Raw genomic sequence first — 27,598 nt, forward strand, 5'->3', positions numbered from 1 at the left:
CCCAGTCGGGTTATTTCTTCATAGCAGCGTGAGAATGGACTAATACAAACTCCCAGCTACATTACTCTTTTTTGTTGCTGAAATATATTCAAAATGGTATATTGGTTTGGACTTAGAAAGTTTCTTTTTAATATAAATTACTGAATGCAGGCCCATTATGTTGACCCTATTATATTTACCGTTTTGATCCATTCTGTTGTCTGTGATGGCATTAAGAAGGCTCTGCTTGGGGCCGGGCGCGGTGGCTCACGCCTGTAATCCCAGCACTTGGGGAGGCCGAGGGGGGCGGATCACGAAGTCAGGAGATCAAGAACATCCTGGCTAACACGGTGAAACCCCATCCCGTCTCTACTAAAAATATAAAAAAATTAGCCGGGCATGGTGGCAGACACCTGTAGTCCCAGCTACTCAGGAGGCTGAGGCAGGAGCATGGCGTGAACCCGGGAGGCGGAGCTTCCAGTGAGCTGAGATCGTGCCACTGCACTCCAGCCTGGGCGATAGAGCCAGACTCTATCTCAAAAACAAACAAAAACAAACACAAACCAAAAAAGAAGGCTTTTCTTGTATCTGCAATATATATGACATCTTTCTTCTAGTCAGTCTAGTACTAAAGCAGCCTTGAATTATGTGAGTCCTTTATTCTCGGCCTCATTTTTACCCCTATTACATTGTTGGGTAGTTGAACCAGCCTCACTGCAGAGCTCTCCTCACCTTAAATCTGGCGGGGACTTCAGAGCTCATGTAATTCAAATCACTTCTCTTTCCTTTCTTACCAAATGATAAAAGTGATGCCCAGAAACAAGTGACTTATTCAAGTTTAGACTGGCAAATCTAGAAGCAGAACTCACAAACTAGGTATCATTCTCTTTCACTCTATGGTGTTGATAAAAGGGGACAAAAAAGTTACTCTAATTGTTTAGCTCCTTTGAGATAGTATCAACTCTCAATTTGTATGAAAGCAGCTGACTTATGTATGCTGCTCAATAATTCTGTCAAAACCACAGAGAGGAAACACTAAGTTATTGCCTAGTGTGCAGTTATCAGTTTATTATAACTGGACTTTTTGAGTATTTCTCCTTTAGTAGTGAGCACAATGCTAAGCTGTGACAGGAGGAAAGGAGCCTCTTTGTGGTTCCACTGTGCTACATCTTCATGTATCTTGCTCCTGCCACATTGTCAGCAGGGCCTGTGGGTAGGGACATCTGGTGGTGCTTTGCCCCAGCTGCATGCCAGAATCATGCAGTCCCTCAACAACCTCACACAGAGATACCACCACCTGCTCAGACTCAGCTGTGTGTGCACCCGTCAGACAAAAAAAAGTACATAAATTAACATGGTGTTACAGACATAACCTAGAGGATTTCATTTATTTATGCTTGCTGTATGGAGAGCTCTATCCATATTTAGGCTTGCAATAGCCTCCTCCTATATCCTCATTGGTAGCCATTAACCATTCATTATCCATCTTATTATTTAAGTCCTTAAGGTCTTTTTTCTTTTCCACTTTTAAGTTTCCTTTGGGGGTTACTTACCTTAAACCTTATCATTAGTTCATCTTATGACCTGATAGAAATAGGACAAGCCAGGTACCTGGCCGGTGAGATACCTTAGTATAGGGAAGGCGCTGAAGTTCTGATACGGATATATGGGCAGTAGGGGTCAAACTCAAGTTTATGCCATTTCAATTACCTTTTTACTTTTTGTTAAGGGATTTAACCACTTTCTTAACTCCTAAAACACTATCCATTAACTTCAAGCAGTATAGCATTAGATCAAATATTGGCAACTCAAGTTCTGCAACGGCATTTTTTTTGGCCACTCCAAAATAACCCTTTCTTTTGATCCATTCTATATCCACCAAGGGTCTTTATGGCAGAAATAATCATGGTAGTTTAAAGAAAGAATTATCTTAGTCCAATTGCACTGTTCTTTTTACAGTGTTTCCGTAAGTCCTATAATTATATAACTGCTGATTATTACTATTTTATTTTATTTATTTATTTATTTTAAAAGGAGTCTCTGTTACCCAGGCTAGGGTGCAGTGGCCAGTTGCAGGCATGATCATAGCACAGTTCAGCCTTGAACTCCTGGGCTCAAGCTATCCTCCTTCCTCAGCCTCCCAGGTAGTTGAGACTACAGATACATGACACCATGCCTGCTCTGACTAAAACACTTAAGAAACAAGAAAATGTTATTAATCATTTTTTTTTTTTTTGAGGAAACTTAAACAGGACCAGTCATGATTTGTTTTTATTTCTATCATCCAGTAATTAGTAACAAACAAAAAACAAGAAACAAATACTATAAAAGCAAACTAACTTTATTTGAATAATCTAAATAGAGAACAAGGGTAGGTGAATGTGTAGCCAGAGGGAAAATATCCTATGTCAAGTTTCAAAACATAACAAGCAAAAATAAGTTTATTTCTAAAAGAAATTTCAGTGAAAGAAAAAGGATGTTTATTATGACATAATATATTGATTCCTAATGGTGGATCTATTAACTGTTTGTCTAATCTAGTCAAAATATTTAAGCTGTTTCTGCATATGTAAATAAGGCTTAAAAATTAGAGAACAAAATCTGTTCTCTAATTTTACCTAGTAAAATAATGGTAAAGCAATAAACTAAATTTACAAAGGTTTCATAGATATGCCTATCACAAGTTTAAAATAAAAACAATCAGGAGAGAAGCATGTCAACAATGTGTAATTTAATTTCAACAATGTGTAATTTAAACATTAGGTTTGGATAACAACTGGTAACAAATCCTACTCTGGCTTGGATAATAACTGCTAACAAATGCTAACTTAAAAGTTTTCATGAATTCAATAGCTACCAATACAACCTCTGTCATCCTTCTCACCTTCTCTTACTTAAATGGTAGCAAAATTTTCTTGAAATAAAAAAAAATCTGTTTGGGAAATGGTTTTCTTAAAGTAAACAGACTTGGATGCTTATTAAAAAATTATCTATATATATTTTAATATGCAAAAACAAATTTACAGATATCTACACGAGCAAAAACAATTTTCTTTACATTTTTAGTAAGCTGCAGCAATGAGGATATTTTACTTTGAACACAAACATATGAAACCTTCAAAAAAGTCCACATTTTCATAGGAAGCTACTTTACAAAGAAAATACATGTACTCCAGTTGAAAATACAAACACTGTCTGCTTTATGGTAAAAATCCCAGGAATCATATTTTCTCATTTTACTATGCAGAATCAGAGTTCGAAAAATAATAATCTTTCTCTTCTTCATCTAAAGATTCCACAGCATTAGTGAAAAGTTTTCCAATACCAGAGTTTTCTCCTAAGTCTGTAAAGAGAAGTTTAATAAAAAGATAATAAATTTCTAAAAGTACTTTCAATAAAACTGAAAACAACTATAAGGAATAAAATGCTAAGTCTGTCCACTTGAGAGCAATTAATTTTAATACCATTTAAATAAAGAACCTACCTTATAATAGAACTGAGCCACAAAAGAAAGCTGTAAGTGTATTACCTGTGTTAAATGGGGTTTTCCTTCTTGGTGTTGGAGTTGAGAAATCAGTTTCAACCTATAAAAGAGTTACTATTAATAGCTAAATGGTACCTCCTGGTGAAGTCTACCTCAAATCTAGACAAAATTAAGCATGCTTATCCCCAGATTACTTTGAACATATGCCTATAACAACATTTAATCACATTATAATTATCTGTGAAATGCATAATTCTCTTTTGGGTTTATCCAGGGCAAGAACCATGACTTACTCAATGTTGTTTCCCAGTGCTGGCAAACACTCCTCTAAGAAATTATTATAAACTAATGCTATAGCAGTTAAAGGATAGTCTATGGGCCTCCAAAAGTTGCCAAAATGTGCTAAGTAATTAAGTAATGAATATACTGGTTTGGTAAACTTAAAATATAAACACAATTTATCATGATTATATATAGTAATTATAATTACAATACTATACTGTACTATTACAGTATAGTAATTACTATACAGAATACTAATTACTGTATTACTTTTACCTACAGTCTGTTATTATAACAGTACAATGTTTTATACCAGCAGAATTTTAATTCTCTGTACTTGAAATTCTTGGCTAAAATGGTAAAGTAAATGGCAAGTTTGAAGTACATGCTCACACACATTACAATGCTTATCAAACTATTGGCCATGGCTGGCAATCCTTAAAAATCTTTTAAAAATAAAAAGTAACAGAACAGAAAATATAGTAGCCCTTAGAGTAAGTACTGTTTTAAGAAATTTTTGAGATACAAATTCATGCTCACAGACTGTGATATAAATGTATTTTTTTCTGAGATGAGGTAAAACACTGCATTATATCATTTAGACCTCAAAATCATTTGGTAACATAAATCAATATAATCATGATCCCCATTGTCATACCACACATGAATAAAATGGTATTAGAAAGCTCAAGTAACTTGCTCAGTGTCATAAAGCAAGGGAATCAAGGGGGTTCCCATAAGTTACCATTCTCGAAGATTAGCTACTTAGAGGAAATTTGAGATGAAATACTTTTTCCAGAATCCTAGTACTTATATATGATAATCAGTTATTGCAATTAAAATCAGAAAATTAAAAATTTAAAAAGTAATTCAAGGGGATAAAGGACTGTCCTAATCTTTTCTCTAAGGGATATAGATCATTCTATTAAGGCATCTTTCAGTTAAAAATTTTTCTGTAGTTGGATTTTAAATGTTAGAATGTAAAAAAATAAAAAGTAAAAAAATAAAATTAAGTAGCTAAATCTGAAAAACACCTGAAGCCATTTTAAAGCTACATAGAATTTGATGAAATTTCTTACTTTATGAGAATTGTGACTCAGTCTGAATTATTCTTCAATCCTTGAACAGGATTGTTTTTGTGTTTTGTGTTTTTGTGTTTTGCCTGAAATATCCTTCCCAGACCTCTGTGTATATTTTTCCCACCCTTCATTTCCCAAAAATCAAAGTTTTTAGCCATTTTCCCCTTGCTCCAATGTTTCAGTCAATGTGATGCCATCTGTAATCCTACAGTACTTATGTGCTTACCTCATTCATGGCTTCATTATTGTAACTTGTTACATTATAATCACCTCAGGGACAGGGACTGTTACATGACTTACAACTACCACAGTTTATCACATATTAAAGTTGTTTCATAGATATGTATTGGATAAAGAAAAATACTTACTAATTTTTTCTTGATGTTGCCCCAGACAATACCACCATTACTTTTATGATATTTTTGCATACGAAAAACATATTTATCACAGTCATTCCTGTTTGAATACGAAATAATTTTAAGTCAACAATATTTTTAAGTCAACCTAATAATTTTAAGTTAACTGTCATACTTTTAACCACAGGTTGAACAACAATTGCCTAAATTAATTTCAAATGTATTTCTTTTTTTGAAACAGGGTCTCACTCTGTCGCCCAGGCTGGAGTGCAGTAACATGATAATGGCTCACTGCAGCCTCAACCTCCTGGGCTCAAGTGATCCTCCCAACTCAGCCTCCCAAGTAGCTTGGACTACAGGCACGTGCCATCATGCCTGGCTAATCTTTGTATTTTTCTTAAGAGACAGGGTTTCACCACATTGCCCAGGCTGGTTTCAAACTACTGAGCTCATCAAGCAATCTGCCCTCCTGGGCCTCCCAAAGTGTTGGGATGACAGTCGTGAGCCACCACGCCTGACCTCAAACGTATTTCCATCTTTAAAAAGTACATTCTGTATTTTAAAGAGGACAATAAAATGTGCCTATGGAGATGGACAAAATGCTTAAATCAAACATTTTACAGGAAATACTGATCAAGACTATTTTGGGAAATTATGCTTTGCTTACCGTTCATTGTACCGTCTACGCTCTTTCCGGTATCTTGCTGCCTCTCTTGGTTTTCCAAAACTCCCACTGAGACTTCTTCTCCTTGGACTCCCTTTTGCTATACCATTATCTCTCCTGTTCACTTCCTTCCCTGTCCTAATTGAATCTCAGTTTATTCACTTTAAAGATATGCCTGGTGATTGAAAACTGTCAATTTTTCCAACTGTGCTGGGTTTCTAATCCAGCTCATCAAGCCTTTTATTTCTACAAAATTTTATCTTTCTTGAATTCCCCATACCAACCACCAAATTTTTTTTCTTTATTTCATTTCCTTTACCTTATCTCTTCCCTTACAAGCAAATATGCTTCACTCATAACTGAAGAGATTAAAAGCCAAGTAGAATTGTTGGTTGTTTTTAATTCCCTAAACCCACAATTCCTAATCCCACTTATGACAGTAAATACCAGCTGAACATCCATTTCCATACTCTCTCTTGGCTCTAAGATCTTACATACCTGAGTATCCTCTGTTCTTTATGACTATTTGGGAACAACCTTAAAGGCATGACATGAAGAAATGTGACTCTATTAAGATATTTATCTGAATCAAACACTGCTGTATAGCAATGAATAAACCTCGTCAGTTTTTAGCAAATTGCTTAACAAATGAACAGGTGTGATCCCAGCACTTTGGGAGGCTGAGGCTGGCGGATTACCTGAAGTCAGGAGTTCAAGACCAGCCTGGCCAACATGGTGAAACCCCATCTCTGCTAAAAATACAAAAATTAGCCAGGCACGGTGGCATGCGCCTGTAATCCCTGCTACTTGGGAGGCTGAGGCATGAGAATTGCTTGAACCTGGTAGATGGAGGCGGTAGTGAGCCGAGATTGTGCCACTGCTCTCCAACCTGAGCAACTCCATCTCACAAACAAACAAAAAACAAATGAACAGGCCTAGCCAGTTGTTCAGGATCAGCAACTGGTAAGTCTATTATCAAAGAGATGTCTTTGAAGACAAAGAGTTTTTCACTTCTGAAGTGATATAACTGTTTGATTACTTAAAACTGTTATGAAAAGTACGTCAATTACTAGAGCTAGTAAAGTCAGAGAGAGTGAAGAAGCCTAAGAAAATCATTTTTTTAAGAAAAAAGTTTCAGACAATATAGATTCATAACATAAGTGAATCTATCGTGTTTCTTTAATTGTAAAAGTGACATAAATGGACAGAAAATATCCCCCAAAACAAAAAACAAAAACCCACAACCCACACTGGTGTCATTCTACAACCTAGAAAGAATGGCTGGTGATGTGTAAGTTAAGAAATTTCCTTCCTTACGAATTTGTTACATAAAATTGGGATCATGCTGAATGTAGTTTTCCTAGCTTTTGAAAACTACTATCCACTGGACATTTTTCTGTCATTAAATTCTTGAAGACATGATTTGTTTCATATTCCATTATATGGATAAATCTTAATTTATAACTTTCCTTATTTTTGGATGTTTTGGTCATTCTCAAACTTTCAGTATTATGTTTTATGATGAACATCTGTGTTCCAAATCTCATATTTCCTTAAAGTGTCTAATAAAATTCAACGGCCAAAAGGATGAAGTTGTTTTTTTTTTTTTTTTTTTGGAGACGGAGTCTCGCACTGTCACCCAGGCTGGAGTGCAATGGCGTGATCTCGGCTCACTGCAACCTCTGCCTCCCGGGTTCAGGTGATTCTCCTGCCTCAGCCTTCTGAGTAGCTAGGATTACAGACACACACCACCACATCCGGCTAATTTTTTGTATTTTTAGTAGAGATGGGGTTTCACTATGTTGGCCAGACTGGTCTCGAACTTCTGACCTTGTGATCCGTCGGCCTCAGCCTCCCAAAGTGCTGGGATTACAGGTGTGAGCTACCGCGCCCGGCCACGGATGAATATTTTAAGGCTTTTGATGAACTGGTCAAAGTGCTTATCAAAAAATTTGTCCAAAATAGTATTCTCAGTATGCTTTCCCCTGCACTAAATACTAAAAATAATTTTTAGATGCCTAGGAAAATTATATTTTTATCCAATAAGTGCAAATTAAAATTTTAGCAATTTAGCAAGCTTCCTGAGAGTACTGAATAGTTTTTTTCTCAGTCACTATTATCTTGCTTCTGCCTCTCATTCTGTGGAAATTGCTCTAAGATCAGCAATGGCCTCTTACTTGCCAAATGGAATAGCCTATTTTCAGGCCTCATTCTTACTATTTTCCATCTTTTTTTGGTGACATTTTATTGTTAGTCACCCCTACTTTTTTCTTAATTTTATTTATTTATATGTTTCAAATTGTTCTTGTATTCACATGGTTCAAAATTCAAAAGCCCCCCTCTCCTTCCTCCAGCTACCTTAGTTCTCCCTAAGGATCACCAATGTTTTGGTTTCTTATGCATCCTTTTATAAAGACTTAATCTAATAAAAGCAATTATACACACACACACACACACAAGTATATACATATATGCATACATACATATAGCTTCTATTTACACAAACAGTAGTATATTATTCACTGCATCTACCTTTGTTTCATTTAATATATCTTAGGCATTTTATCATAATAGCAATAAAAAATATCTTCATTAATTTCTTTTTTTTTTGAGACAGGATCTCACTCTGTTGCCCAGGATGGAGTGCAATTGTTGCAATCACAGCTCACTGCAGCCTACACCTCTGGGACTCAAGCAATCCTTCTACATCAGCCTCCCTAGTAGCTAGGGCCACAGGCTTGCCCCACTGCATCCTGCTAACATTTTTGGGTTTTTTTTGTAGAAATGGGGTCTTCCTATGTTGCCCATGCTGGTCTTGAACTCCTGGGCTCAAGTGATCCTCCCAAAGTGCTGGGATTACAGGCTTCAGCCACTGTGCCTGGCTCTTCATTAATTTCTATGACTATATAATGGACCAGAGTTCATTTAATTAGTCCCTACTGATAGATTTTTGAGGTACTGCCATTTAAACAATGCTACAATGAATAAGCTGTACATTCACAATTCTATAAGTAAAATTCCTAAGTCAAAGGGCATGTGCATTTATAATTTTGATACTTACAAATTGTTGCTGCAAAGATCGCACTACTTTACCTTCTCACTAGCAATGCACAAAAATTAACAATGCATTCCTTGTTAGTTTGTAGGAATGCTGTATATATTACGGAAATTAGCCTTTTGCCTGTGACAAGTTGCATATATTCTTTTCTCAGGTTGTCTTTTGTTTGTAGTGGTTGGTACCAGGTAAAATTTGTTAAACATTTTTACACAGTTGACTTTATTCATCTTTTCATTAATGGCTTGTAGGTTTTATAGTATAGTTAGAAAGACCATCACTAATCTGGTATTATAAAATAATTCTCCAAGGTTTCTTTAGTTTTTTTTTTTTAAAGTTTTTTACAAGTAAAACCTTGATCCATTTCGAATTGATCCAGAAGTAAATGTGGGTTATATCACAATGCTGTTTATTGAATAGCACCCCGATTTGATGAACTTGTCCATCCTTAACTTCTAGAAACTACACATTCTTGATTTTTTAAATAATGCCTCTTCCCATTACTGGCATCTATGGTCCTCATGAAATGTTTAAATGTTCCTCACTACTCTGATGCAGAGAATTAACATATCATATGCATGAATATTTACCTATTTATAGAACCTAGCATGCCAGGACTGACATGCTGACATTGAGGAGTTTTTACCAATGGAAAGATAACTGATGATGGAGTTGTTGGATTTTTGTCCATATTTGGCAGAATATCATCATCATCTTCACTGTCCTGGAAACTTGGCAACTAGAAAACAAGTATTTATTATCAGCAGGCACCCCATAAAAGGTATTTTCTCATTATCACAAAATAGTTTTGGAGGACTGATAAGTTGGTTCTTCTTGTAACTTTCCAAGTTAGATAATTAAAAACAGTAGTACGTAGAGGAGTAGAGGCTAGAGGAACTCCATTTTAGATGCTAATTCACCATGCTGACTTCTGATTAAACCTGGATCTGGAAATGCCTCTAAGATTTCTACCTCCATATACTTACTGGAAATCTTGTCCTTAGGTCAAAACAACCTTGGTGTTATCGTAAACACATACTTACCATAAATACAGCCCTTAGGCAAATTCCCTATGGTATATAAACCCTGGGTCTGGGGGGATAACAGTGCCCAAATCCACCATCTTGAGGCCACCCAAGAGATGGCTTCTGCTCAAAAGTCTCTATTAAATGTTTCTGAGAAACTGGATTTGTCACCCTCTTTATTCAGCCTGTAACCGAGTAGCGTGGCTTCAAACCATGTTTTAAAACTTTTTTCTTTCTTTCTCCCCAATTTTAAGATATAACTTTGAGATAAACTACATGTGTTTCCATTCATCTTGAAATACAGCCTCAAAATGTGAACCTCCGTTTCTTTACCCATTCTATGCTCCCATGCCTTATGCACATGTTTTTACCTAGACGCTTTTTAAGTGCACACCATGCTCATTTATCTGGTCATGTATTTCCTTAGAAGCTTCAGGGGCCGGATCCTGGCATAAACTGGATACCTCCAGAATTCTCTCCCCAGTCAAGGCCAAAACTCACTCCCATCTAGAAATTTACTGCAAGATTTACTACAATTAATTTGTAACCTGGTTGAGCCCAGGATGGTGCTGGCCCCTTCACCAAATGGAATAATATTTCAAGATAAGCTGTTGGAGCAGATTGAGCCACCTAACACCTCCTAACCCCCTCCTCTCCTGCATTCCAAATCATTCTCTCTTTAAAAACTCCTATGTTCACTCCACAAATTGAAGACTGGAATTTCTGGAATTTCACCCACACTTCCCTTTGCTGGCACAGATAATAAAACTCTATCACACCTTGCTCTTGTTATATTGGCTTCTTTTTACAAGCGGCAAGTAGTTGGACCCCTATTGCTGGTTACAATTTTTGGTGGCCCATACAGGGAGCCCTGTGTATTCACAGGAGGCTCCAGACACACCTATCTGATCTTCTGTTGGATAGGGCCATGGAGCCACCTGTGAGTGCCAGCTGCTCATGGCTAGCTGACCCTGTAGTAAGAACATTAGGGGAGCTTCCAGCAATAGCCAAGGTGCCTTTGTCTTGCAGAACCTCCTTTTCTATTTCTGTCACAGCATCTGCTGCTTCCAAAGCTTCACTGATACAAAGAGAATGTGACATTTTGAAGAAGTCGACAAATGTTGGAACCAGGTGAGCTGCTGATGTGCACCCAGCCTCCCTCTGCCTCTTTTAGGGTGTTGCTGGGGCTCTGCTCTGTTTAGACTTAGCTGTTGGTGTCACCATTTGGCCATTTTTTTGCATTTGTATTTGTGGCACCCTCAGGGCTTTGCTCACATTGGACTGTCCCCTGGGGAGGGCCGTTTGAAACTGAGGCAAGGAGTTTGGAACTCTACCCAGCCCTCTTAACTGGGGATTTGTTTGGAGGCAGTGCACCATTTGTTTGCAGTGTAGGTGTGTAACCTTAATGTGTGTATGGGCCCTAATCTCTCTCTCTCTTCCTCCATCTTTTCTATTCCTCCCAGCTCCATCCCACTGACTAAATTGGAAACAAGCCATCTACAGCCTAAACTCCCCTGGGCCATAAACACCGTTAGCTTCCTCCAGCTGGAAATAGCTAACCTTGACTGGTGACTTGCAGAAGTGGGAATGTTACAGCAGGTTAACTAGTCAGGGATAAGCAAGGAATGAGAGGGCCTCCCCACCCCCCACCAGGAATGTTGTTAGGCGACCATCCTGTGATGGTCAGGTGGTTGTTAACTGTGTCTCTAAAATAATACTTAATCGCAGCCAGCACCAGGGAAAAGCAATCTCTCAATAAACAGAAACACCTAAAATTGGTGATCAGCAGCTTCCTCATAAGATCTCAGAAACTGGGCAAGTGGGCTCAAGCATGTGCATTAAGAGGAAAAATGGAGGAGTTTAACTGGTATATGACCTCCTAAGGACATCCGACTGGTAAGGGAGAAAGCCTCAAGTGAGCCTGTGTATAAATCCAGTAAACACACTGTAACTTGCTCCCCTCCCAAGTGCTAGCACGCCACTGGGCATGCAGACAGCCCGCCCCAAGGTTAGAATCCGGGGAGAAGGAACACAAGACCCCCAGAAGCATGCCAACATATAAAACCCCAAGTCACAAAGTTAAACCATGCTTCAAGTCACCTGCTTGGCCCTCTTCTGAGAGTACTTTCTTTCCTTTGCTTCCTGCTTTAAAGTGTTTTAATAAACTTTCATTCCTGCACTAAAACTTGCCTCAGTTTCTCCTTCTGCCTTATGTTTCCTTGGTCAAATTCTCTTTTTAAAAAATTTTTATAAGTATTATTTAACAAAAAATGGAGACGGAGTCTCCCTATATTGCCCAGGCTGGTCTTAAGCTCCTAGGCTCAAGGGATCCTCCTACCTCGGCCTCCCAAAGTGCTGGGACTACAGGCATAAGCCAGCACACCCGGCCAGAATTGTTTCTTCTGAGGAGGTAAGAATTGTGGTTTCTGCAGACCCGTATGGATTTGCTGCCAGTAACAGGAGGGATTCATCCTACACTGTATAGGTCTAAGGTGCTGAGGCTCTCCCTGACAGAAGATAAACAAGAATGATGGGGGTCTGCAGGTTGCACAGGTTTAGGCTATGTCTGTTAGAAATTTTAAGGTCAAGGAACAAGGACAAGGACAGAGCCTTAGCCTTTAAAAGACTTAATTTCTCTTGTGTAAAACAGAGATAATAACACCTATTTCTGAAGGTTATGTAGACCAGAGGTCAGCAAATGTTTTCTGTAAATAATCAGATAGGGAATATTTTAGGTTTTGTGGTCCAGTCTCTGTCCTAACTACTCAACTCTGCACCGTAGCATGAAAGTAGCCATAGACAATATACAAACAAATCTGACCCTTCGTATCAACAGAACAAAACAAAACTCTAATTCACTTACTATTATGCTTAGCCGTTAGTAGGAACCCAAGCAGTGTTAACCATTGTGGGGAAAAGAAAGAGAGATCAGACTGTTACTGTGTCTATGCAGAGAGAAGTAGACATAAGAGATTTCATTTTGTTCTGTACTAAAAAATTCTTCTGCCTTGAGATGCTGTTAATCTGTAACCTTAGCCCCAATCCTGTGCTCACAGAGACATGTGCTGTGTTGACTCAAGGTTTAATGGATTTAGGGCTATGCAGAATGTGCTTTGCTAAAAAAGTGCTTGAAGGCAGTATGCTTGTTAAAAGTCATCACCATTCTCTAATCTCAAGTACCCAGGGACACAATACACTGCAGAAGGCCACAGGGACCTCTGCCTAGGAAAACCAGGTATTGTCCAAGGTTTCTCCCCATGTGATAGCCTGAGATATGGCCTCGTGGGAAGGGAAAGACCTTACTGTCCCCCAGCCCCACACCCATAAAGGGTCTGTTTTGAGGAGAATTAGTAAAATAGGAAGTCCTCTTTGCAGTTGAGATAAGAGGAAGGTATCTGTCTCCTGCTCGTCCCTGGGCAATAGAATATCTCAGTGTAAAACCCGACTGTATGTTCTATTTACTGAGATAGGAGAAAACCGCCTTAAGGCTGGAGGTGAGACATGCTAGTGGCAATACTGCTCTTTAATGCACTATATGTGCACATCAAGGCACAGCACCTTTTCTTAACCTTGTTTATGACACAGAGACCTTTGTTTACATGTTTTCCTGCTGACCCTCTCCCCACTATTACCCTACTGTCCTGCCATATCCCCCTCTCTGAGATGGTAGAGATAATGATCAATAAATACTGAGGGAACTCAGAGACCAGGGGCGCCGCCCGGGGCCTCAGCAGGGGGCCTTGTATGCTGAGTGCCGGTCCCCTGGGCCCACTTTTGTTTCTCTATACTTTGTCTCTGTGTCTCTTTCTTTTCCCAGTCTGTCGTCCCACCTGTCGAGAAATGCCCACAGGTGTGGAGGGGCAGGCCACCCCTTCAAACTATGTCACAGAAAATGATATAATTTGTTGCTGTCTATTTCTACTTTAGTTCTGTTCTTTACATTTTTATTTTTTTGAGATGGAGTTTCGCTCTTGTTGCCCAGGCTGGAGTGCAATGGTGCCTTCTCAGCTCACTGCAACCTCCCACTCCTGGGTTCAAGCGATTATCTCACCTCAGCATCCCCAGTAGCTGGGATTACAGGTGCCCACCACCATGCCAGCTAATTTTTGTATTTTTAGTAGAGACGGGGTTTCACCATGTTGGCCAGACTGGTCGCAAACTCCTGATCTCAGGTGATCTGCCCACCTTGGCCTCCCAAAGTGCTGGGATTACAGGCGTGAGCCACCATGCCCGGCAGTTCTGTTCTTTATGATGCTACTATTGCATTTAGGCTAAAATATACATATATAGAACCTGAAATGATGGTGGGATAAAGGGTACAACCCCTAGTGGACCATAGCGTTTTGAAGAAAACATTGTCAGGGCCTCTGGTGGCTCTCTTAAAAGACTTCCCTCTATAATCAGTGTAAGCAAAAAGGGGGCCCAGTTAATGATGTTATTAAACTTTATAAAGCATTGTGTAGCCTTTTTAAATTGAAGATAATTTTATGACAAGAAATTGGTAGATGAAAAAATTACCCTTATGTCTAGCTCACTAACACAACTGTTTGAATTTTTATACTCAATAGTCCAATTGTCTGTTATCCACACATTTCTGCATTACTTTAATCTTAATAATTTTTTTTTCTCTTTTTGAGATGGAGTCTTGCTGTCGCCAGGCTGGAGTGCAGTGGCTGCAACCTCTGCCTATGGGGTTCAAGTGATTCTCCTGCCTCAGCCTCCCAAGTAGCTGGGATTATAGGTGCATGCCACCACACCCATCTAATTTTTGTATTTTTAGTAGAGACAGGGTTTCACCATGTTGGCCAGAATGGTCTCGATCTCCTGACCTCATGATCCACTCTTCTTGGCCTCCCAAAGTGTTGGGATTACAGGTGTGAGCCACTGCACCCGGCTTTTTTTTTTTTTGAGATGGAGTCTCACACTCTGGCCCAGGCTGGAGTGCTGTGGCACCATCTCAGCTCACTGCAAGCTCTGCCTCCTGGGTTCATGCTATTCTCCTGCCTCAGCCTCCCGAGTAGCTGGGACTACAGGCGGCCGCCACCATGCCTAGCTAATTTTCTGTCTTTTTAGTAGAGACGAGCTTTCACCGTGTTGGCCAGGATGGTCTTGATCTCCTGACCTCGTGATCTGCCCGCCTCGGCCTCCCAAAGTGCTGGGATTATAGGTGTGAGCCACCGCACCTGTCCTTCAGCTAATCTTAATATTCTTAACATTTATATTTAGATTCTAGAAAGTCTTAAATGTGCATTTAATATTTGTATTGTATTTCACTGTGTTTATGAAAAACATCTTTATTGGATATACAGATTGTTTCCAGTTTTTTGCTATGAAGATAAAACTGCAATAAGTATCTTGCAAAGATTTTGGGCTTTTGGATTTCTTAGGATAAACTCTCAAGAATAGAATAAATCTTTATGGCTTTTATAATATATTGCCATAATGCTTTCTTACTAAAAGGTACAATTCAATTTGTATGCCCACTGATGTATGACTGTATCAGTATCACCATTGCTTCTGTTAGCAGTGGATATTTTAACTTATTTTTTTAAAAGATTCTATAATTCAGAAAGTACATAAATATAATTTACTTTACTTTCTTGGATTACTAACTAAAATGACCACTTCCCCAAGTGTTTATTCAGCCTTTTGAATTTCTTCTTATTCACACTTTTCCTGTGATCTTGGTACTTTTTGTTATTCCAGTAACATTTGAATGAGTTGTTCATATCACAGATACTACTAGCTTGGTTGTATTTGCTGTGAATATTTTACTCCAATCACTGAAATTTTTAGTTATTCTACTCTTCATATGACAAAAATTCTTTCATACATTCAAATCTTTTAATACTGTGCTACTATCACTTAATCCCTCCTTTCAATTACTACACAGTATCTTTTATCAACTTTAAAAAAAGTTTGCTAGGTAGTATATTAAACTTTAAATATATATGTTTCACCTAATTCTAGGTTTACTTTACTGTTTGGTTCTACAAACATTACCTTTGAACCAACTGAAGTGCAGACTCTAGAAACTAGTAAGAATGGCATATATCAGCACATTGTTTGCCATAAGACTATGATCATGTCTACGGAGGCTACTGATCCTTGGCCTAAATATTAGTGATGAACACTACCATACATAAAAATGAAAGATACAAAAGTCAATACAGATAAGGAAAACAATGATTTCATGCCTCTTACCAGTATTCTTTGATGCTGTAAAGGTGTTGTACTGAAAAAATCATCATGGTCATCTTTTGGCAACTGTTCCAGAAATTCCCTCATCTGTTGCTTCCTTTTAAGAGTTCCCACTTTGGCAGTTATCTTAATAGTTTGTTTCTGATCAGCATCACCTCTCTTGCCTTAAGAGTCAGCAAACCATTTTGATAAGGATTTGGTTATTTATAGTAACTGCTCTATAAAGTTAACAACCTTTGCAAAGTCTAAATTGTGCATTCATGTTAAAAAAAAACCAAAAAACTCAGCCTTGGCCAGGCTCAGTGGCTCATCCCTGTAACCCAGCACTTCGGGAGGCCAAGGCAGGAGGAATGCTTGAGCCCAGGAGTTCAAGAACTGCCTGGGCAATATAGTGAGACCCCATCTCTAAAAAAATACAGATATAGATAAAGCAAAAAAAGAAAGAAAACTTAGCCTGTTATTTTACAAGTCTCCTATAGAACAAATGATTATTTCTACACTGGGATCTGGGATTTGTGCAATATGATTAGCCCATAGGATACTCATGAAGAGGCTAAGATTAGGCAGGGTGAGGTTAAAAAGATCTTCTCTTTTTTTTTTTGTAGAGATGGGGTTTCACCATGTTGTCCAGGCTGGTCTCGAACTTGTGAGCTCAAGTAATCGGTCCACCTCAGCCTCCCAAAGTGCTGGGATTACAGGCATGAGCCACCGTGCCTGGCCAAAAAGATCTTTACACTGCAAGAATGACTGCCTCTACATTGCCTCTTGCTGAATGCCTAATTTATTGATTTTGCCAAAATATATAAACCTTACTGAATTATGACAGGGTATTGGGTTCTCGCTAATGCTTATTATAGAAATTCTCTGGCATAATCAACCTTTTACTAGTACTCATGAACAGGAGTATGTAATCATGGGACTATGAAAACTGAATATTTTCTGAGCTTTCTCATAAATTACTTGGGGATCTGACCCAAGTGGTCTTTAATTAAACCCTTAGAACAATAATTCAGATATTGAAATCTCTGGATCTAACTGCAGAATTCCTAAAACTCGAAGCACAAGGCTACTAAACTACTACTGATGGAAGCAGAGACCCAGGTAAGACTTAAAAATTAAACAGATGATTTCTGAAATTCTCTCTAGCTTTAAAATTTTAAGAAAATACCTATTAATATTCATGGATAAATATAAAATATATCTGATTTCAGTGATCAGAAATCAACACTGAGTACTAGGAAAAAAACTATTTACTACGAAGGTTACCATTTTGGCCTTTGGAATTGGCTGGCTTCTTCTTAGTGACATGTTTCTGGGATCCTTTTCCTCTGGGATTTTCCATGTATTTCCTCTGGCATTCTTCAGGAGATCGAGAACCTACAGCCGCAGCTACCTCTGACCAGAAACCAGGTTTGTGCTTTGGAAGAGATGCAAAAGCACTATGGAAGATCAAAACCAATTAAAGAATAAGAAATTCAAACCAATGACAATAACCTCTTAAAAGCATAACACTGAATTGATGAGATTTACTGAGATGAAGGAATCAGTTTTATCAAAATCATTCTGGATAACAATTAAGAAAGATATTATTCCTTCCCCTCAATAACTTAACTCTAGTGCTTAAAATATGAAGATGTAATTTTACCTATCTAGTAGATGTCTTCTAACTATTCTGATGTGTTTTATTAAGCCTGAAAAATGACCCTCAGCCTTTCAACATTTTTTTTTCTAAGTCCAACTAATCGATGATACGGTTTTTTAGGAGATTTTGGCATGACCAAATTTTCTTCACTGTTACCTTAAATCTTATTGGTGCTAAGTATATTGGACAATAAGCTCTTAGTTCTCTTATACAGTCTAGGTTATAAGCTATTAAAAAGTGTTATGCTTGCTTTCATTCTACTATACTTTGTAGAACTCAGTATTTTAGATATATGCTCTCTTAATTAAGGAAAATGAAAATTGAAATAGAGAAAACTATAAGGAAGTCCCTAATTTAACATCTGAGTTGCATTCTACAAGTTCCTTTGTAAATGATTTAGAACCTGGTATACACATTACCACCCCCACTCTCCCCATAAAGATTTCATGCATTGTGGTTAGATTGACAATTTAGCCAGAAAACATCTATGTAACTCATCAATTAGCCTAAAAGTGATATTAACAATGTCATTTCAACTACACCAAGTCTTTATTTTTAATCTGTTTCTTTGGCAAAATATTTTTATTTCTACTTGGATTCCAATTAATAGATATAGGTTTCATGTAGCAGTATGTGGGAAAGTTTTTAATCAGTTCTCTCGGGGTTAAACAGTCCTGATTTATAAAGTCTGATGACTTTCATAGGGTAAATACTCCCATTGTAGTTGATGTCAAGCTACCAACATGTCACTGACTGTGGAGTTGATAAAACACGTGTGATAGCACACAATTACATAGTATTTCCACCATACCACAGAGGTGAAGAGTCTCAAGAGCATATATATATAATAAAATGGAAAATAATTAGGAAGTAATGAGTTTTAAGCATTATCTTTGTTTTAAATAATTTAAGTTTATATAATTTTTTAATGACTTTAACACTCAATTTGTAAAATTCTCCAAAATTTAACAATCAGCTCTTGTGAACAGCTACCAGCTGACCACAGCATATTATTCCATGCAGAAAAGCATAATACTTATGAGCATTAAATACTTGTTAATGAATTCTTTTACATAATTAATCATTCCACAGTGTTCTAAAGTGAACAACTAGAAGGACTTGGGAACTCAAGCTTCTCTATTTGTGTGTGTGGCTAATTTCTAAATCTACGACTGTCTAAAATAACTATTACATAACACAAATAATAATGTATTTAATAAGAAATTAGTACTTAACACATCTCCTCTAGGTTATTCCAGATAATTTAAAAAGACAAACTTAAACATATCACACCATGTTTAAAACTTGTTTCATTATTAGCATAAAACCCCAAATCCTTAGTGTAACGCTGTATTGTTCCTTGCCCAACTCTCTAGTCTCATCTTGTACTGCTCTTTGGTCAACTTTCAGTATTCCATTCATTCTAGCTTTCTTTATTTACCTTTCTTTTTTTTTTAAAGAGACAGGGTCTCAATCTGTCACCCATGCAGGAGTGCCGGGCATTATCATAGCTCAATGTGGCCTCCAACTTCTGGGCTCAGGCGATCCCCCTGACTCCGCCTCCTTAGTGGTTGGCACTACAGGCACATACCCCACACCCATTCTTTCAGTATTTCCAAATATGCCCTCTTTCTTTATACTTTTGTGTATGCTATTCTAAGGTCCATTTGTCTTGAATCCTTGGCTTAAATAATTCTTATTTATTGATATAGTTTAAATATGTGTCCCTACCCAAGACTCATATCAAAATGTAATTCCCAGTATTGGAAGTGGGGCCTAGGGGGAGGTGATTGGTTAACGGAGGTAGATTCCTCATGAATGATTTAGCAACATCCCTCTTGGTACCATCCTTCTGATGGAGTTCTCATGAAATCTGGTCATTTAAAAGTGTGTAGCACACTTTTCCAGAATGTCATATAAATGGAATCATATAGTGTATAACCCTTTGAGTTGGCTTTTTTCACTCAATATGCCTTTGAAATTCAACCAGGTTGTTGTATGTATCAATAGTTCTTCCTTTTTACTGCTTAGTAATCCACTGAAAGAATGCACCCTAATTTGTTTATGTAGAAAGTACGACAGAAATCAGGGAGAGGGAGGAGCTTGGCATAGCAACCCTTTAAAGTTGTTTATGAACTCCTAGGCCCATGCTGCAAATTTTGATATATTTTCATTTTTGTTCAGTTAAGAATATCTGGCCGGGCTGGTGGCTCACACCTGTAATCCTAGCATTTTGGGAGGCCAAGGCAGGTGAATCACTTGAGGTCAGGAGTTCGAGACCAGCCTGGCCAACATGGTGAAACCTTAACTCCACTAAAAATACAAAAACTAGCTGGATATGGTGGCACACACCTGTAATCCCAGCTACTTGGGAGGCTGAGGCAGGAGAATTGCTTAAACCCAGGAGGCGGAGGTTGCAGTGAGCTGAGATCGTACCACTGCACTCTAGCCTGGGTGACAGAGTGAGACTCTGTCTCCAAAAAGAAAAAAAATAAAAGAAGCCGGGCGCGGTGGCTCAAGCCTGTAATCCCAGCACTTTGGGAGGCCAAGGCGGGAGGATCACGAGGTCAGGAGATCGAGACCATCCTGGCTAACACGGTGAAACCCCGTCTCTACTGAAAATACAAAAAATTAGCCGGCGTGGTCGCGGGCGCCTGTAGTCCCAGCTACTCGGGAGGCTGAGGCAGGAGAATGGTGTGAACCTGGGAGGTGGAGCTTGCAGTGAGCAGAGATCGCGCCACTTCACTCCAGCCTGGGCGACAGAGCAAGACTCCGTCTCAAAAATAAATAAATAAAATAAAATAAAATAAAAGAATATTTTCTACTTTCCTTTAAGTCTTCTTCTTTGACCCACAGATTAGTTATACGTATTAATAAGTTATTTAATTTTCAACCACTTGGAAATTTTCCTATCTTTATTTTATTGATTTGTAGTTTAATTCAATTATCATCAGAGAATATGCTTTGTATGATTTCAGCTATTTTAAATCTGTTAAGAGGTTTTATGATCTATCTTGATGAATGATCAACCTATCCTTGGAAATAACCTATTCTTTTTCTTATTATTGGGTGGAATGTTCTGTAAATGTGAATCATACGAATGACTGATGGTGTTGTTCAGTTCTATATCCCTGCTAATTTTCAGTCAGTTCTATCAAATACCAAGAGAGGAGCAGTGTGGTTTCCTATAACTGTGGATTTGACTATCCTTGTAGTTTAGTCCGCTGCTTTCACTTGTCAGTTTTTAACTCATGTATTTTGAGGTTTTATTGTCAGGTGCATACACACTTAGGAATTTCATGCCTTCCTGGTGACTGACCCTTCTATCATTTGTAATGTCTTTCTTTATTCCTGGTTATTTTCTTCCTACTAAAGTCTATTTTGACAGATATTAATATAGCCACTCAAGCTTTCTTTTGATTTGTGTTTAGACGGTATTTTTCTATCCTTTTAACCTACCTATATCATTATATTTAAAGTGAGTTTGTTGTATACAGCATATAGTTAGATCATGTTTTTAAATTCATTCTGACAATATGTCTTTTAATTGGTATGTTTAGACCATTTAATTTAATTATGTTGGATTTAGGTCAATAATTTTATTATTTGTTTTCTGCTTGTTCCATGTAAAAAAATCCTCCACTTCTCTTCTTCTTTGCCTTCTTTTGGGCTATTTGATTTTCCAGTATTTTAATTTATGTTTGAAATTATTTCTTTGTATAGTTTTTTTAGAAGTTGCTCTAGGGATGACATTAAATATACTTAACTTCAACAGTCTACTTAGAATCAATATTTTACTGCTTCAAGTGAAATGTTAATATTTTTATTTTAGCAGGTCATCAACCTGGTGGTATCCCAAGCTATACGTTCAGTCTACTATCATTGTTGTTTCAATGTCAGTTTCATTTTTCAAAGCTCTGCAGTGCTGTTAGGATCTTCCTGTGTGTGGGACACTGAGTAGCTAGCCTAGAAACTGGGTGTGGTCTACTGTTTAGTTCAGTTCTCAGTCTTTTATATGCTCTTTAGGACCATGTCCACATATGTACAACTCCTGGGTGGCATAGAAGTTCATAAACAACTTTATGGGGTTGCTTTTCCTACTTCCTCTCTTTCCGCGATTTCTGGTTCCCTGGAGTTTCCCTTGTCAGTGCTCTGGCCAGAAAGCTGGGGCTTTTATTACTCTGCTCTGCTGTATGCCTCACACAACTGAATTTTTGTCCAGTACCAAGCAACAGACAACAGAAAGAGAACAGAAGCAACAGGTACTTGCCCCACTACTTTGAGGCAACCATTCCTAATTGTAGAGAAGGTTCTCATCTCTCAGAGTTTTAGATATATCTCAGCCCCAGCTGATGCTGTGACTGTAGCCCCTGCAGGATTGCATGGGGACTGAGTTAAGAGAAAAGACAAAAACAAAACAAAACAAAACAAAACAAAACAAAAACAAACCAAACCAAACACTGGGGATTTCCTCTACTGTTTCTGAGTGTCAGAAGTCCCCCTTTCTGCTCCTCAACCCAGAACTGGAGAGCTCCTCTTTAAACTCTCTTTGTTACCCTTCAGTGCCCACTTCTAGGTTTCTAGTATCCTTGAGTCTCACTTGTGGGGCACCAAACTTTACTATTTATAACACTTGTTAGGCCGGGCACGGTGGCTTATGCCTATAATCCCAGCACTTTGGGAAGCCAAGGTGGGCGGATCATTAGGTCAGGAGTTCAAGACCAGCCTGACCAACATGGTGAAACCTCATCTCTACTAAAAATATAAAAATTAGCCAGGCGTGGCAGCGTGCGCCTGTAGTCCCAGCTACTCAGGAGGCTGAGGCAGGAGAATCGCTTGAACCCGGGAGGCAGAGGTTGCAGTAACCGGGATTGTGGCATTGCACTCCAGACGGGGCAGCAGGGCGAGACTCCGTCTCAATCAAAACAAAACAAAACAAAAAACAAAAAAATGCATTTCTTAAAATATGAAGCTACGTGAGAGAGTACTATTTGGCTATCTTGAAATATTACATGGGAATGAAAAGGTCACTTTTACTTTCCTCATACTTAGGCTTTCCTCGTACTTTCCTCGTATTAGAGATGACCACAAAAATACCACTAGGAGTTATGTGTAGTCTATCTCCATTCCCTGTGCAAATTATAATTTCTCCCTTTTTTTTAATGACATCTTCCATGTTAACCCCTTATTGCTATTTTTATGTCTTTAACTGTCTTGTGGCTGCTCTGTAGATATTTCGGAATGAAATCTAACTACTTACCAATGAAGTTTCTGTAACTCCTTCTCATTCCATTCCTTATCCTGAATTAAACCAGGTAAGCATTCTAAGGGATGCCTATTTGTCTTATCAGATCCTACTGCCTCAGTAATTGGAAACTCTTTCCTAACACCAGACTTCTGAAGAGTTTCTTTGACGGAAGGTCTAGCTTTCTTTTGTTTGATATAAAATTCATTTTCACTTTCTTCAGTTTCAGGTTCCAAAATCACTGGAATATTACTTGTGTTTCTTGTGCTCTTTCTCAGGTGAACCACTGCTTCTTTGGTGTTTCCTGCTTTGGTTTTCTTAACTTCAGCTTTCCTTTTAATTTCCTTTTCTGTTTCACTTTCTTCACTTGACAAATCTGGTGAGGACTGATGCTTATAAAATGACATAGCTACCTGATTTTCTATTTTCTTCAATTTTGGTAATAGTCTGGTATTTTTCTTAAAGTCAGAGGTGAGCATTTGTTCCTTTTCAAGGTTAGATATTTTTATTTTCCGGTTGACAGTAAGTAAGTCACGTTCATCGCAATCTTCCTTGTTTTTACTTTTATGACCTTCAAATGTATTTTCTAAAGTCCCCATGGACTTGCTGATGGGACTTTTTTTTTGACACTCTGGTATTACAAAATCTGTTACTGCTTTGATGGTGCCAGCGGACAGATTATACCTCATGCATCTTTGCTCTATCACTTTTCTAGATTTAAGTGGTGTTACTAAAATATAAGCTTTCTTCTGATTGATGGCCATGTATTTTCTTTCTTCATCTGAGAAAAACTGTTCCCTTGAGGTTAGAATATCAATGGATACATCCAATTCTTCAGTTGTCTCTTTAATTTCATAAGACAAAACCAAAGACCAAAATCTCAAATTAGCTATAAACAAATATAAGCACAGAAAATATATTTTCACAAATAAAAGATACTATTTTTATCCACGAGCTACACTGTATACCCACCTGTCATATTAATCTTTCTGAAGCCCAGGTCTATTCAGACCACTGCCCCTTCAACTGTAAACATATACTATTGTTTATACAAACCTGACAGTGACTTCTCACAGTCTTTTAGTAGACATATAAATAAGCTCCTCTGCCTGGCCTTCCACATAGTTCCAATCTCTCACTGTTGTCAAAATCTCAACTATATTCTATGTTCAGAACCACACCACTTGCTATTTCTCAGATTTTCTTGGTTCTCCACTTTTAATAATGTTGTCCACTCTGCTTTGAAGATGTTCTTCATTCATCTATAAACAAAATCACTACCTGCTTCGATTTTATTCTCTAACCCACCTAGTGTACAAACTTGTACACATTCCCTACACTGAATGAAAGCTCTCCTTCAAGTTTCCAGAATACTTTAAATAATGCCATGTTTGACAGTGAGACATGTATTATAATTGCACACTTGTCTTTCAATCAGACTGGAAAAAATAATTAATGGTTAGAACTTTATCTGTATGGTTTGATTTTTTTTTTTGCTGGAGTTAGTACAGAGCCTTTCACATATACAGTAGGCAATAAGTAAATACTTGTTAAATCAAAGCCCTGGAGGTAAAATATTCAGAAGATATAAGAAAACCAGTAGTCACTGAAACCTTACTAAGTATTATATGAGCTGTGCTAGTTAGGAGGACATGGAACTCCATCTGCATGGTTCCACTTTCATTGCCAATGGTGGTCATAGAAACACACTCAAAATGAATCCCCCCAAACACCATGAAGTACAAAACAAGCAAAAGAGAACAACCTGAGAATCTTATATCTTGTCACTAAAGAAAGCAAATTAAAATGAGAACAATTCACCAATTCAAAACCTAAGTAATGAGAAGTCAAACTAACTGAAACTATCCAACTGTAATTAGAAATACATATAAACTGCAAATCATCCCACTGTCATAGAAACATATTACAACCACCTCCACATATTATGTGCCATTGTTTACAAGATGACTGACAGAATGAGACTGATAGATAATATTGAATGCTGGGGAGAAAAGAAGCCTCTAAATTACAATCCGTGGAAAAAGGTAATAATCAAAATAATTTAGAAAGTGTCTACAAGATTTTCCACTGGCATCATATATCTTCAAATTATGAGAAAAGTATTTTCTTCTAACTCCTCATATAAATCCAATTCAAATGTTTACCTGGGAATTTGAAAATTTTCAACATTATAATTTTGAACAATATTTCCATTCAGAGTATTTGTTAATTTTAATAAATTATTTAATAAAGATCCAGCTATCTTGGATACTTAAACCGAATATGAACTCGGAAGTATAAGTAGCACTGCTTTCCTATCTTCTTCAAACAAATAAATGTTCTTCACTTTCACTTCTTTTCACTTATAAGAGGAAATAAAACACAAAAAAATGCTATAAAGCTAATGGATTTAGCTCAACATGAAATTGTAAACTTGCTAACATTTAGACGAAAGCCTCTAAATTATGGCATGCAGGATTCCAATTAAATCACTCTGAAAATCCACACTTAAAACTAAATTATTGTACTAAATTCATAAAAGGATTCACTCTTTACACATTCCTGTAAGCATATGTTAAATGATATATAGTTTTGTGATCTAAACAAATATTTTAGTACCCAGATTAAAGAAGGCAAACCTGTAAGTATAGGTGGTTTTTAAAAGGGCTATTTTATTATGAAAATCATCTTATGTAAAAATAACAAAACCAAACATTTAAAAACATTAAATAATTTGCCATTTTACATGAGGAAATTTACAAGATCACTTTTATCATATTAAAAACATTTCACATAGTAGCTTTCTGCTTATGATTAAAAAACCATTAAAGATATATTACCTTGCTTCTGACTTTTTATTATCCTTTCATTTGTTCTTTCACCAATTTTTAGTTTCTTTGAAGACATTTTATATTCTTTTTTTCCAATTAATTCCTTCAAAACAAAAAGATACCTAGGTTTTATTTTAAAACTACTACCAAAACATGATCTGAAGCATTTTCATAGTATGCATCAAGCATACAAATTTCTAGGTACTTACAGTTCCGCAAATTTCATTAGTGGACACATTCCGAAACTTACTTGCCAGACCTTGAGCACTACGAGCAACATCTGGGAATCCATTATCCTACATATTTTCTACATTAATTTAATACTTTGTGGTTTTTCAAGTGCTTTTAAAAATATGCTTTATTTAAGCTTTACTCTAAAAGCTAAAACTTTTATTGTTGCCTGCATTTTTTCATTGAGAGACAGGGAAAATAAATATCAAGACATTCAGTCCCCAAGTAAATGAAAAGCTGATACTTGAAAAACAGAACTCTTGGCTGGGCGCAGTGGCTCACGACTGTAATCCCAGCACTTTGGGAGGCAGAGGTGGGTGAATCACAAGGTCAGGAGTTCGAGACCAGCCTGGCCAATATGGTGAAACCCCGTTACTACTAAAAATACAAAAATTAGCCAGGCGTGGTGGTGCATGCCTGTAGTCCCAGCTACTCGGGAAGCTGAGGCAGGAGAATCACTCGAACCCAGGAGGTGGAGGTTGAGGCAGGAGAATCACTTGAACCCAGGAGGCAGAGGGTGCAATAAGCCGAGATCACGCCACTGCACTCCAGCCTGGGCAATAGAGGGAGACTCCATCTCAAAAGAAAAAAAAAAAAAAAACAGAACTCACGTCCCTGATATGGTCCCAAACCTTTTCAGTAGTAAATCACCCTTCTAAATATCAACTTGAACTATACAGTGTACAATAAAGCCTTACCTGATTAGATAAGTCATCTCCTCCTCCATTTTGAATAGTATTATTTACTTGGTCATCTGGGAACCTTAATGTTGGTTTATTTTGGCAATTACTGTGGCACATGTTTAATTCTGTAGCTCCTGGTGACTCACTGTGCTTATTACTCTTCAGTTCTATGAATACAAAGATGGAGATTTCAATAAATGGTTATATAAAAGAGAAGCTGCTTTTCTACATGAAGAATTAACTTTGACGCTAGGTGTGGTGGCTCACGCCTGTAATCCCAGCACTCTGGGAGGCCGAGGGAGGAGGATTGCTTGAGCCCAGGAGTTCAAGACTAGCCTAGGCAAAATAGTGATACACTGATTCTACAAAGAATAAAAGGTTGGTGCAAGCCTATGGTCCCAGATACTTGGGAGCCTGAGGTGGGAGGATCACTTGAGCCAGGGAGGTCGAGGCTGCAGTGAGCCGTGATTGTGCCACTGTACTCCAGCCTGGGTGACAGAGCAACACCCTGTCTCAGAAATAATAATGATAATCTGTCTAATCCCTCTGTCATAAATATTTGTTATAATTTGACTAGGATATAAAGCAATTTTATTTGGAAAGAATCACTCTGTATAGCGCTACGCTACATTTTGTTTGAATCACTTTTTTTCCTTCAAAAAAAATTTAAAAAGCCTAGACAGCCATATTATTCACGACCATCTGTTTTGGATCTCCTTTGTCACATCTAAAGACAGAATAGTAAGGTTAATCCATTTTGTAAATAAAAATTCCTGTTCATCCTAACTGCACATCAACTAAATAGAAAGCTAATAACTGTTCTTCTTCTATTTCTTCATGT

At 37.6% G+C, this 27,598-nt stretch overlaps 1 protein-coding gene across 8 annotated transcripts in view, besides 1 other annotated feature; it reads right to left on the reverse strand.

Annotated features, from left to right (window-relative positions):
• Window positions 2,300-27,598, reverse strand: part of MIS18BP1 (MIS18 binding protein 1) — a 50,013-nt gene continuing 24,714 nt past the window's right edge. For 6 of the 8 annotated variants that reach the window (NM_018353.5, XM_005267833.6, XM_047431546.1 and 3 more), the window contains 9 exons: window positions 26,773-26,924; window positions 25,853-25,946; window positions 23,028-23,856; window positions 17,392-17,564; window positions 16,129-16,289; window positions 9,490-9,638; window positions 5,193-5,280; window positions 3,509-3,563; window positions 2,300-3,322 (listed from right to left, as the gene is read on the reverse strand). In NM_018353.5, the coding sequence (NP_060823.3) occupies window positions 3,219-3,322; window positions 3,509-3,563; window positions 5,193-5,280; window positions 9,490-9,638; window positions 16,129-16,289; window positions 17,392-17,564; window positions 23,028-23,856; window positions 25,853-25,946; window positions 26,773-26,924 (1,805 nt within the window). In that variant the 3' untranslated portion in view covers window positions 2,300-3,218. Of the gene's footprint in view, window positions 3,323-3,508; window positions 3,564-5,192; window positions 5,281-9,489; window positions 9,639-16,128; window positions 16,290-17,391; window positions 17,565-23,027; window positions 23,857-25,852; window positions 25,947-26,772; window positions 26,925-27,598 lie in introns of those variants that run through there. The other 2 variants (XM_047431547.1, XM_047431548.1) reach the window with 2 other exon arrangements.
• Window positions 22,000-22,049: an enhancer, noted in NCBI's record as "active region_8302". NCBI's record gives its function as "activates an Ori minimal core promoter by ATAC-STARR-seq in GM12878 lymphoblastoid cells {active_cell/tissue: GM12878}" and the evidence as "EXISTENCE:reporter gene assay evidence [ECO:0000049][PMID:35858748]".

This window comes from Homo sapiens, chromosome 14, assembly GCF_000001405.40.
Source record: "Homo sapiens chromosome 14, GRCh38.p14 Primary Assembly".
NCBI lineage: Eukaryota > Metazoa > Chordata > Mammalia > Primates > Hominidae > Homo > Homo sapiens.